This window comes from Homo sapiens, chromosome 5, assembly GCF_000001405.40.
Source record: "Homo sapiens chromosome 5, GRCh38.p14 Primary Assembly".
NCBI classification, from domain to species: domain Eukaryota; kingdom Metazoa; phylum Chordata; class Mammalia; order Primates; family Hominidae; genus Homo; species Homo sapiens.
In genome coordinates, this window is record NC_000005.10 from 173446006 (window position 1) to 173458781 (window position 12776).

A 12776-nucleotide genomic window follows, 5' to 3' on the forward strand; every position below is an offset into this window, starting at 1 on the left:
ATTTTATTATTCAGTAGTCAGAATAAAAGTTTTATCACACAAGGATCTTGGTTTGTCTCAGGTCTTCTTGCCAACCTCGAGGACATAAACAAATGTATTGTCACTGCCATTTCAATCATTCAACAGTAATATGTTACTCAGGTCTGGGACAAGTAACTTCCAGTGTCAACAAGGGCCATGTGACATGAGGGGTGCATATTGGACAATTGTAGGATGAAAGAAATATCTGTTTAAGCTCATTGAAGAATAAGTGTGGACTACCTCTTCATAATCTAGGGACTGAGTGACACATTTTTGAAAGTGTTTGATTCATTCTGGATCATGCTGTATTTCAAGAGGAAGAAGTGATCTTCAATGCCAAATGCTACTGAAAGGGGAAGGCAGTGAAAGATGAGCATTGACCATTGATTTGGGCATCGACACTGGAAAGAACAGTCTAGGGAGTGGTGAGGCTGAAAGCCTGACTAGAGTGGATTTAAGAGAATGAGAGGGGAGAGCCTGGGCACTTGGAATTCCATTAACCATTTAGAAAGTCTACTCTGTGAAAGGGAGCAAAAAAATATGAAGGTAGCTGGAGGAAAACATAGGATTAAAGTATAGAAACATTTTGTTTTTAAGGTATAAATAGCAGTGTGTTTGTAAGATGATGGGAAAGACCCAGCAGAGAGGAAAAGGCTGATGATGCAGGAGCCTGGGGGTTGAACTGCTGGAGAAATGCCCTGGAGGAAGAGAGAGGTGATGGGATGCAGGGCCCAAGGGGAGGGGCTGGCCTTGCAAAGAGCCCATTTAGTGATAGAAGGAAGGCGGGAATATGGGGACAGATGCAGTGAAGATGAAGGAGGAAGTGTTGGAAGTTGGAGGACAGAGAGGGGTCAGAGAATTGTCCCCCAGATGAGAGGGAGAGGACCTGCCGGGGGAAATGTAGGATTGCTAGACAGAGCCAAGAGGCATTTGGGGCTTTGATAGCTTAAGTAGGGCCAGTCAACACAGCTAGGGGTGTTTCTCCAGCCACGTTCAGCTGCTCGGAGCAGGCACAGAGTAAGTAGAAAGTTGAGCTTAAGTAGGCTTGGGGGTTTTGCTAGGCTACAATGAAAAAGGAAACATGGGCACGGTGGTTGAGGGTGTATGAAAGGCAGTGACAGACCAAGGAATTAACCAGGCAAGGAGGAGAGGTCCTCTTGGTGGTTGTTATTTCTCAGTTCTGGAGGCTGGGAAGTCCAAGATCAAGGTGCCGCCAAGGTGGGTTTCATTATGAGATCTTTTGTCTTGGCTTGCCAGCAGCTGCCATCTTGCCCTATGCTCACATCTCCTCTTTATGCGCACAGAGATGGGGGAGTGGAGAGTGAGTGTGAGCTCTGGAGTCTCTTTTTATAAGGTTATAATCTCGTCATGAAGGCCCCACTCTCATGACCTCATCTGACCCTACTCATCTCCCAAAGGCTCCACCTCCCAATACTACCACATTAGGGGTTAGGTTTCAGCATAAGAATTTTAGACAGGTATAAACATTCAGTCCATGACATGCTGTTATTGCCAATGACAAGGTCTGAGTCAAATGGGTTATGGAGTCAAGAACAGGGTTATTTGAGGCAAGAAGGTTGAGGAACTAAGAGGACAAGTATTGGGAGAAGTGCCTTCATGGTATCGAAATCGCTCAGCGTCATGACAGGACTGGTTTTTGGAAAGAGAGACAGGGAGGCAGGTGCTAAAATCTTCAAATATGGCGGCGAGTGGATGCTGTGGTCTCTAGAGTCTCTAGGGGCCAGTGGATGGAATGATTAGGAGGCTGGACTTTAGTGCCAACTCCCTGAATTTGAATCTTTAAAAAAATTCAATTAATTAATTATTTTAAGGGGACAAAAATTTTATATATTCCTCCTGTACAACATGATGTTTTGAAATACATAGACATTGTGGAATGGCTAAATTGAGCTAATTAACATATGCATTACCTCACATACTTACCATTTTTTTTGGTGGTGAGAACACTTAAAATCTACCCCCTTAGTGATTTTAAAGAATACAATACATTAACTATCATCATGTTGTACAGTATATCTCTTGAACTTATTCCTCCTGTCTAATGAAAACTTTGTCCCCTTGACCACCCCTTGTCCACAGCTTCTGGTTACCACCATTCTACTCTCTTCTTCTGAGTTTAACTTTTTAAAATTCTGTATAAATGAGTTTATGCCATATTTAACTTTCTGCGTCTGGCTTATTTCACTTGACATAATATCCTCTAGGTTCATCCATGTTGTCACAAAGGGCAGAGTTTCTTCGTTTGTAAGGTTGAAGAGTGTTCCATTGTGTATATGTACCCCATTTTCTTTATCCTCTCATCCTCTGGTGCACACTTAGGTTGACCCCATGTCTTGACTATTGTGAACAGTGCTGCAGTGAACATGGGGGCACAGATATCTCTCTGACATACCCTGAGCTTGACTCTTATCCTGTGATTTTCGGCAAGTGACTTAACCTCTGTGTAGCTCAGTTTCCTTATTTGTTAAGTGAGGATGATAATCATACCTACCTCATGAGGTTTTGTGAGGTTTAGATGAATTAATGAATGCAAAGTGCTTGAAATGGAGCCTGGCTCGTCATGAGCATTCTAAAACATTACTGTTATGTTGGTAAGAGTGCACCATGGTTGGGGCAGGGGAGGGGCTGGGTGGTCTGGCCCAGTAGCATGAAGTTCAAGGTCCATGAGCCTTTCTAGGAAGGTGGGAGAGACAAAAGCCAGAAAGTGGCCAGGAGGACATCTCCTCCATCTCCAGGCCAGTGACACCAGGAGTTTGGGGGAGAGAATGGCCATCCTTAAGCAAGTAGCAGAGGAAGTGGAGTCCACTGGGCTTTGATTAAGGGCAAGAAGGTGAAGGGGAGATCTGAAGAAGAGGCTGAAGACAGAGAACTTTGCTATATATGGACAGTGAAAGCCACTGGCTCCGTGGAGAGGCTAGGAGACTGGGGATGGTAGTGGGCTTGAGTCACAGCAAGTTATGTACAGAGATCTTTTGGCATGAAAGGCTAGGTGACGGGGATAGCTGGGAGTCATGGACTCTGGGTGGTGGCCACGGCATGATGGAATTTCTCTTGAAGATTCCTTAGACTGTGGTGTTGAGATGAGAAGTGCTGGTGTGTGTGTGTGGTGGTGGTGGCAGAGGGGCTGTCTGGCAAAGAGCATGCGGAGCTCGGTGGATGTCTGCAGCTGCGCAAAAGTTGAGCATGTCCCAGGAGCTGGAGTTAAAGGTCGTTGCAGATGGACAAGGACATAGGAGGGATAAGAACTGTGACTGGTGGGCTAATGGGGGTCAGATTGTGAGAGGTCTCATCCAATTTTTAAAGTGCAGGCCTTTAGCCAGAGAGTCAGATCTGTGCTTTAGGAGGATCACCCAGGATGAGGGTAGATGGTGGGTGTTCAACGGAGAGAAATCTGAGTCAAAGAGACCTGTTAGGGGGCAGCTACAATAGACTAGGCAGCCGATAATAAAAGCCAGCAATCAGTAGGTAGAGGTGACAGGAGAATGGAGGGTGGGGGGAGCAGACTGGAAAAAAAATTCAGAAGTAGAATCTATTCCCTGGAGATATTTGAAATCCCTGAGCAAACAGGACCCAGTAGGGTAATCAGAACTCAAAGATGCTGGTAGGAGACAGAAAAGTGGGCAAAGAATGTGGAAACCTGGCTGTAGATGCAGCTTAGTCACCAAGTCAGTAAGTTGCTGCCTTTAGTGACTCTCCTGAGCTTTCAAGTGCCTCGGTTTCCCTAACTATTCCATTAGCACAAGAAGGACATATCTAGCTTTCCCTGGCACTTCAGCAAGGGGAAGTAAGTGGATGGGATAGTGTAAGGCATTTGAGCATTTCAGTGAAAGATACTTTTTATTTGCATAATCGGGGTCATCTCAAGGCACTTGCATGTCCTTTACCTCATTTAATGCTCGTGCATCTGTCAGTCAATTGAGGCAGATGATGATGATGACAACAAAGATGATGATGAAGGTAGCTGGCATTTACAGTGTGCTTGTTAAGTACAAGTCACCCATACTAAGCTTCTTCCAACAGTCTTACTCAATTCTCACAGGAGTTCTTTGAGGTTCACAGCATTATGAGCTCCATTTTAAAGATGAGAAAACTGAAGCTTGGAAATATTGAGCAAATTTCCTGAAGGTGTACACTTACTAAGGGCCTGGAACAGGGTTTTTAACTCAGGCAGTTAATTGACACCACGATCGATTAACCATTTCTGCCATGTATGAAGGATGGGGAATGTTATCATTCTTGCATTGGATGAGGGGTGGGCAGGCCACATCCAGCCCACTGATTGTTTTGTAATACGGTTTTCTTGGAATCCAGCCACACCCAATTTATTTACGTGTCATCTATTACAGCTTTCCTGTTACAATGGCTGAGTTGAGTAGTCACGACAGCATTGCATGACCTGCAAAGCATAAAATCCTTACCAACCGCCCCTTTGCAGAACCCTGAGCTAGACTATTCTATTTTTTGTCTGTTTCTTCTTTCTTCTCCTACCTGTTTTTTCTCTTTCTCCCAGCCATCGGATAATATATAAAATATGAAAGTAAAGGGGGATTCTTCCTAATGCAGCATTCTGTGTTCTTGGGTATTTTACCAGTGCCAAGTTGAGAAAGACAGAGCCGTTGATGTATCATCAGTGAGCCTTTTGATGAGGCCCACTGCTAAAGTCATCAAGAGGACAGAAAGTGACACCAAATTCCCATAAAGTATTTATGATCCACCCACCCTGTTCCAGACACTAGTCTAAAAATTGCTGGGGAATATTTAGAATTAACGGGGAATTTTCTCCATTTGCAAAGTGAAGGGATTGAAATGAGAGGAGCTGGATTCAGGTCCCACCCATCTGAAACACATTCTAAGCCATCCTTTTGAGAAAGCCCTGTCCTCCAAGCAGAGGTCATGTGTACACAAGCGGCCCATATGACCCAATGTGCCAGTGAGGGACTCCTTTCTAGAGATCAGCTTTGTAAAGTGGGCTCATACGACAAACATGCAGATACTTGGTCTTAGGAAATGTATTTTGACTCTTTCAGTCTCAGCAAGGGGATAGAAGGAGCCCTGCATTCTCTCCTGACACGCTTGACAAAAACAAACCCAACTAGAGGTCGCCAGCAACGGAGGGGCATCCTGTGTAAGGACTTGGAAGAGGAGTTGTATTGTCACCCCCTGGCCACTAGAGGACTTCATCCTATTTCAGTGGAGGAAGGCCTGTTAGGGGCCTCTCTATACTGGTGGAGGTTTGGTCGTCTTCCCTTCACTTGATTTCTGCCAGTGGCCTTATGTGAGGATGCTTCATGAGATGTCAAGTATCCGAGGAGTCTGTGACACAACCATCCAGTGGTGAATTGCTAAGGAGCTCCTCTCCAGCCTGCTTGACTCTGAGGTTAAAAGAGTCTTCATGTTGAGCACAAGTCATCTCTTTGCACTTTCACCAGTTGTGTCCATCTGAAAAACACAGAGGTCTGTCTCACTTCTGCATCACAGTCCCTTCCAAGAAGCTCCACAATGGGTAAGGCACAATAAAATGGCTTATATTCAACAAACACATAACACTCTTCCTGTACTAGACACCATGCCAAGGGCTTTACAATTGCTAACTTACTTGATCCTCAGAGTCACCTTATGAGACAGGTGGATGGGATATTGCCCCTTTTACAGATGGGTAAACTGAGGTACAGAATAGTTACAGATCTTGCTGAGAGCTATGCACCTATTAAGTGGTTGGGCTGGGATTTGAACTCAGGCAATCAAGCTCCAGAGTGCACGCTGTTAACTAGCATGCTCTGCTATGCTGCCTCCCAGGAGATGGGCCAGATAAACAATGACATATTTTAAAAAACATCCTAACCTATTTTTTTCATTATATGCACATAACAGAAAATTTGGAAAATCAAAAAAAAAAAAAATTACCCACGTCTCACCACACCACCACAATCATAGCAAACATTCTAGTGTTTTTGTTTTAATTTTTAATGTGCATATGTGTTTTTTCATATCTTTGTGCAAGCAATTTGTATCCTACTTTGCACTTAACATGTAATATCCTAATGTTATCACACAATTTTCATAACCACTCTTTTAAATATTGCAAGAATGTGTGTATGTGGTGACATAATAAAAGTTCTAGGGAAACAGTTAAACAAGAATGGCCAAAGGAGGAAGAGAGCAGTACAAATTGTCAAGGCAAGGACGCAAAAAACAAAAAGGATGTCCGTGGAAACTCTGGACTTGCGCAATTACAGGAAAGGCCACTACGCTGACACATCATGTCAATGGCACTGAGCTAGGAGGTGGCAGTTAGGAATCCCGTGCCTCATGGCATCTGGGGACTAAAAATAGCTCTGTAAGGTGACAACATGTGGCAAAGACCTAGTGGGGAGAAAAGGGGCTTGTGTTGTGTTGTGCTGTAGTATACTGCACTAGAGCAAATTCAGAGGAGCTGCAATGAGAAGGCCTGCATCCCAATTCCAGCTTTATTCATTGTGTGACCTTGGATAGTTCACTTATATGGGTATCAGTTTCCTTCACCTAGCATGGGAACAATAAGAGTTCTCATGAAGAACTGTGGAAAAATATGAAATATATGGTGTGTCAGGGATGTTTTTGGTTGCAAGTAACTGAAAACTTGATTTAGAGTGGATGAAGCAATAAAGACTTTTAATGAGCTCACATCACAAGAAGTTCGAGGGTGAGGAGACTAAGGCTAGCGAAAAAGCTCAGCAATGTCATCAAGAAAACCCAGACTTGTTTCTCTTTGCAATTCACCATCCTTCGGGTGTTGGTTGTATTTCTTTCTTTCAAGTACTATTATTTCAATGACTAGATCTATGCTGAAGTGATATCGACCCTTCCTTATAAAAGCCCAGCTTCAGAGAGAAATTCTCATTCTGTCAAACTAGTAGAAAGCTCCCTATCTCCCCAAGAGACTTCTTGAAAGGGCGAGGAAGCTTCTCTGTGAAGGTATTACCCAGCACATGCTCAAAACTGCTTCCAACACCATCCACTGCTTTCTCACCATGCCCTGGGGAACATACACGGTGGCTTCTATAGCCCTGTCAAGGGCCTTCTCTGCAGAAAATGCACCTTCATACCAGCTGTCAAATTAGTATTTATCATGTTGTGTGATTATTTGATTAATGCCGCTCTAATCCTCTAGCCTATAAGCCCTGTGAGGTCGGAAAACTCATCTGTTTTGTCCATTATTGTAACCCCAGAGCCTAGCACGGTTCTTGGCTTGTGGTAGCTGTTGAGTATATATTCACTGAATGGGTGAATCAGAGTCTTCCATAGCCTGAGAACCTGTGAGTATTTTTGCATGCCTATGTGACTATCACAGAATCTGTTTGCCGAGTCACAGTGACCTGTTATCACAAGCCCTTTACCTGATCAATAAAAAACATTTATTTTGGAAGGCACTCCTTGATCTCACATTCCATAGCAGATGCTGTTGGTGCTTTTTCTATATCCACCCTGGGCTACCTGAGTTCACTTGAGGTAGTGGGCAACAGTTTTCAATTCACTGACAGAGTCCCATCTCCAGCTGCTTAAGGGCTTTCTCTGGGGGTGTTAACGCTTCCAGGGGAAAACCTCAACTAGTTGGGGATGAGAGTAGATGGATAATTGCCCAGTCCCCCATCCTCTAATGGGCCTAGGCTGAGCCATGTTCCACGTGGATTCTGAAGAACCCCCAGCAGGACGGAGCTCCAAGCTGTAATCTATCCCTTGCTGGCTCTTCTCCCTTCCTTGTCTCACTCTCCCCTTTTGTTTCTCCTGGAATAAACTCTTTATGATGTAGATATCTGACTTCTATGATATTTAGATGAGACTTGGGACTTTAGAGTTGATGCTAGAACCAGTGAAGTCTGTTGGGGCTGTTGGGATTGAATGAATTTTGAATGTGAGAAGGACACACATTTTGAAGGGCCCGGCATGGAAGGTTATGGACTGAGTGTTTATGTTCCCCCCATCTCATATGTGAAAACGCTAACCCTCCCCGTCATGCGACGGTATTTGGAAGGGAGGTCTTTGGGAGGTAATTAGGGTTATGTGAGGTCATGCGGGTAAGGGTCTCCATAATGGGATTAGTGCCCTTCTGAAAAGAGGAAGAAATACCAGAGTGCCTGCACACTGTCTCTGACAGATGAGGACATAGCAAGAAGGTGGCTATTTGCAAGCCAGGAAAGGAATCTTCCAGCACCTTGATCTTGGATTTTTCTAGCCTCCAGACTGTGAGAGATAAATTCCTCTTGTTTAAGTCGCCCAGCCTATGGCAGTTTGTTATAGAAATCTGAGCTAAGACACTGTATCTAAGTCCTTGTCTGAAAATCCTTGGACATTCCTCCCACTGGAGGTGGGATGTATGTCCTCTCCCCTTGAATCTGTGCTGGGACTCACTTATAACCAATAGGATGCAACAGAGATGATGTCGTGGGTGGTGTCAGAACTCTTTGACATTTGCTGCAAAATGTGAAGCCTAATGCCGTTTCCCTTGCGTGTGACCTTGGTGACTCATTTCTAACAAATAGAATTAAGTGAAAATGATGGGGTATGACTTCAGAGACTAGATTATAAAAGGCACTGAAGCTTCCTGCTCTCTCTCTCTATCTCTATCTCTCTCTCTCTATCTCTGTCTCACTCGGTTCTTGGGGAAACTGGCTGCCATGCTTTTAGGATACTCAGGCAACACATGGAAGGGCCCATACAGTGAAGAACTAAGGCCTTTTGTCAACAACCCTGAGGAACAGAAGCTTCCTGCCAATAGCCATGTGACCGAGTATCTTGGAATTAGATCTTCCAGCACCAGCCAAACCTTCAGATAATTGTAGCCCTTGCTGATATATTGACTGCAATCTCACAAGAGGCCTTGAGTCAGAGGCAGCCTGCAGAGGCACTTCTGAATTCCTGGCCCATAGACACTGTACAGTCCTAAAGGTTTGTTGTTTTAAGCTGTTAAGCTTTGAGAGAATTTGTTATGCAGTGATAGATAACTAATACACTCTGCTCTTTCTGAAGCTAGGTCAGGAAAAGCATTGAGTTTCTGCCTGGTTCCCTCCCCTTGGATCTGAGCCTTGAATGTAACTGGCTTGCAATCAGTCCAGCAATAGTGATGCCTTAATTTTTGAGGTTGGATCAGAAAAGGCCGTGCGGCTTCTGCCAAGTATTCAGGGACACTCCCTCTGGGAGAAGTCAGCCACCGTTTAAGACATTAGATGCCCTGAGATTGCCACGTGTAGGTGCTCTGGCATCTCTGCTGAGAACTCAGCAGATAACCAGTGACCATCAGTCATGTGAGAGGATCATCTGGGACGTGCAGCCCAGCCAAGCCTGCAGATGACTCCAGGCTCAGCCAACATCTCACTGCAACAAATAAGAGACCCCCGGCAAGAACCACTCAGCTAATCCCTTCTTGAATTCCTGATCTATGAAATCATGAGCAAAATAACATAGTCATCCTAAGACACTGTGTCACACAGAGATAGCAACTGGAGTAGTCAGCCTTTGAAGAAAACCAAACTAACGTGACTCATACGCAGTCACGGACTAGGTCCTTTTCTTTGCTTATGAAAATATTAAGCTTCGTGAAAGGTGCTCCCAAGGCCTTTGCCATGCACGCTATTTAGAAGGCAAACCCCAAGTAGAAAGTTTTAAGTATGTACCCCTCCACACGCAATATAAAACAAAATAGAAATTAAAAGAAAATAAAAATATCTAGAAGTGTGCAAGACCAGTGATGGTCAGGTTCCCTTTCTTGGACATACACACTCCCGCTTGGAGGCCTTAATGGAGGGTGTGCCTCTTGTTTCAGATATAGAAACAGGTCACTTTGACCTACAATATACAACCCCAATGTTTTCACTTGGTGCTTGATTTGTGGCAGGATTTAAATTTCCACCCACTTTTTGGACTAAAAGTTGTTTTTGTAATTGAAATGTATGCTTATCATAAAAGTATAAATACTATAGAGGAATATATGAAGTAAAAGATGAATCCCTTTTGTCTCCCAGCAATGCCATGGGTTGAATTGTGTCCCCTACTCAAGTTCATATGTTGACGTCCTAACCCCCCTGAACCTCAGAATGTGACCTTATTTGGAGATAGGGTCTTTACAGAGGTCATCAAGTTAAAATAAGGTCATTAAGATGAGCCCTAATCCTGTATGACTGATATTCTTATCGAAACGGGAAATTTGGACACAGAGACTTACATAGAGGGAAGACAGTGTAAAGAGACATAGGAAGAAGATGGCCATGTACAAGCCAAAGAGAGCGGAGTGGAACAGATTCCCCCCTCAGGGTTCCCGGAAGGAGCCACCCCTGCCAACACATTGATCTCAGACTTCAAGTTTTCAGAGCTGCTAGAAAATATGTTTCAGCTGTTTAAGCCATTCAATGTGTGGTACTTTATTATGGCAGCCCTAACAAACTAACATAAGTAATTTCTTGTGTCCCTCCAAAAAAAGAGTCTGACTATACCCATATTTGTGTATATGATTTTCTTCCTTACATAAATGAATCATTTACTAATACTTTTCTACACCAGGAATTCTTCACTTTCTAATTTATTGTGCTAATCTTTTCACAGTAGCCTGTGCAGGTGTATTTAATTCCTCTTAACAGCTGCATAGTATTCTGCAGTTGGGAGAAACTACACTTGATTTGCCCACTGTCCTTTTAATGGACAAGTTGCGTGCTTTCCATAATCCCCTGAGTTCATCAAATGCCTGAGCCTTAAGTACAGCAGGGTTGGTGAAGGATCTACACACAGCAAATGTTCAAGACCCACAGACAGAGAGGAGTGAAGCACAAAATAAATGTCTATTTTATATGCTACTTTGTGAACACTTCCTGTGACTCATCTGTTAGAGCTCAGCTGAGAGCCCCTCTTGTGGGTTCTCAGGGCACCTGCTTCCCTCCTTCCTTGCCCTTAGCACAGTTGCGGTTTTCCACTGGTTGGTGTCACTTTCCGAATCATGTCTGTCTCCTTCCCCAGACCCTCTGGCATTGCTCTTGGCTGTGACTCTGGCACTTGGCACATCGTGCTCAATCAGAGTAGGTTCTCAACAACTGTTTATCAATGGAGGGAATCTTTGTAAGCTGTAAAATATCAGAGAAATGCATGACGGAATCGATGCAAAGAGGAAGCAACTCCCCAGGAATGTGGGAGCAGCATCATTTCAGATCATGTGAACTTCCTTGAGGTCAAAGGTTTTATGAGACCCTTCCCTACCTCTGTCATTTGTCACTTTGCCTTCTGCTACTGTGGACCTTTCAGAATTTGCAGCAGCCGATCCTCTCTCTTCCTGTGCTGGATTGACTCAATGTACCATTGAGGGAATGAGTTCAGTGTACATTTTAGAAACCAGGCCATCAGTTACAGTAAGTAACAGCCAGAGTTGTTTAAGGTGAGCATAGACATTGGGGAAAGTGGGGTTAAGAACCATCATGGCCAGGGCAAACACTGGGAATCAAGAAACCAATTCACTAGGCATGGGACTTGGGCAACTTATTTCATAAGAATAAGAAGGCAACAACCGTAAGAGCTGCTGGAATTTACCAAGCCCTTGTCCTGTGGCAGGCACTGCATTTGGCACACAGCTTAACTCTCGCAGCAACCTTGTAAGAGAGACACTGTTCCTATCCACTGCGCTGTGAAAAGAAGCCAAGTGTAGAGGGGCTGAGAGACAGCTCCATGGTCCTGCAACTCGTGAGTGGCAGAGCCAGGTTTTCAAGCGAGATTTGCCCAGTTCATATTTCTTAACCACTGCATGATCCCTCTGGGACCTCTGTTTCCTTTTTGGAAAAGGGGAGGATGGGGCTAATCACTTAGGATCTTTGGGCCCCTGTAACTTAGCCTTAGAATATCTCTCTTAAAAGAACTTTGGCCTTTTGTAGTAAGTTGTTTAGACACCAAGGATCATTTATCTTCGAAGTGAAGGAAGCCCATCTCTTAACTATTAAAAGACCAAACTTGGTACAACATGAGAAAGTTATAGTAGTGACTGTTACAATAAGAGTAACAGTAAAAGTCAAAACCATAATGAGATATTGCCTCACACCCATTAGGGTGGCTACTGTCAAAAACCCAGAAAATAACTAGTGTTGGTAAGCATGTAGAAAAACTGGAATCTCTGTGCACTGCTGGTGGGAGTGTAAAATGCCACTGTGGAAAAAAGCATGGAGGTTTTTCAAAAAAAATTATACATAGAATTACTGTGTGATAGGCCGGGTGCAATGGCTCACGCCTGTAATCCCAGCACTTTGGGAGGCCGAGGCAGGCAGATCATGAGGTCAAGAGATGGAGACCAGCCTGACCAACATGGTGAAACCCTGTCTCTACTAAAAATACAAAAATTTGCTGGACGTGGTGGCGCATGCCTGTAGTCCCAGCTACTTGGGAGACTGAGGCAGGAGAATTGCTTGAACCTGGGAGATGGAGGTTGCAGTGACCCGAGACTGCGCCACTGCACTCCAGCCTGGGTGACAGAGTGAGACTCTATCTCAAAAAAAAAAAAAAAAAAAAAAAAAAGAATTACTGTGTTATTGCTATTCTACTTTTGGGAATATGCCCAAAATAATTGGAAGCATGGTCTTGAAGAGATATTTGTACACCTCTGTTCACAGCAGCATTATTCGCAATAGCCAAAAGGTGGAAGCAACCAAGTGTCCGTCGATAGATGAATGAATAAGCAAAATATGCTATAGACATACAATGGAATATTATTCGGCCTTAAAAAGGAAGAA

At 44.0% G+C, this 12776-nt stretch overlaps 1 long non-coding RNA gene across 2 annotated transcripts in view, besides 1 other annotated feature; it reads left to right on the forward strand.

Annotated features, from left to right (window-relative positions):
* LOC105377732 (uncharacterized) overlaps nucleotides 1–12776 on the forward strand; it is a 139446-nt gene that overhangs the window by 61018 nt on the left and 65652 nt on the right. Inside the window, exon 4 of one of the 2 annotated variants that reach the window (XR_007059057.1) lies at nucleotides 5070–5545. The exons of the other annotated variant lie outside the window; for it this stretch is intronic. This is a non-coding gene — a long non-coding RNA (uncharacterized LOC105377732). The remainder of the gene's footprint in view (nucleotides 1–5069; nucleotides 5546–12776) is intronic. 2 annotated transcript variants of the gene reach the window in all.
* Nucleotides 8772–9971: an enhancer, noted in NCBI's record as "P300/CBP strongly-dependent group 1 enhancer chr5:172881780-172882979 (GRCh37/hg19 assembly coordinates)". NCBI's record gives its function as "activates an origin of replication core promoter dependent on BRD2, BRD4, P300/CBP, MED14 and CDK7 cofactors, with strong dependence on P300/CBP, by STARR-seq in HCT116 cells {active_cell/tissue: HCT116}" and the evidence as "EXISTENCE:reporter gene assay evidence [ECO:0000049][PMID:35650434]".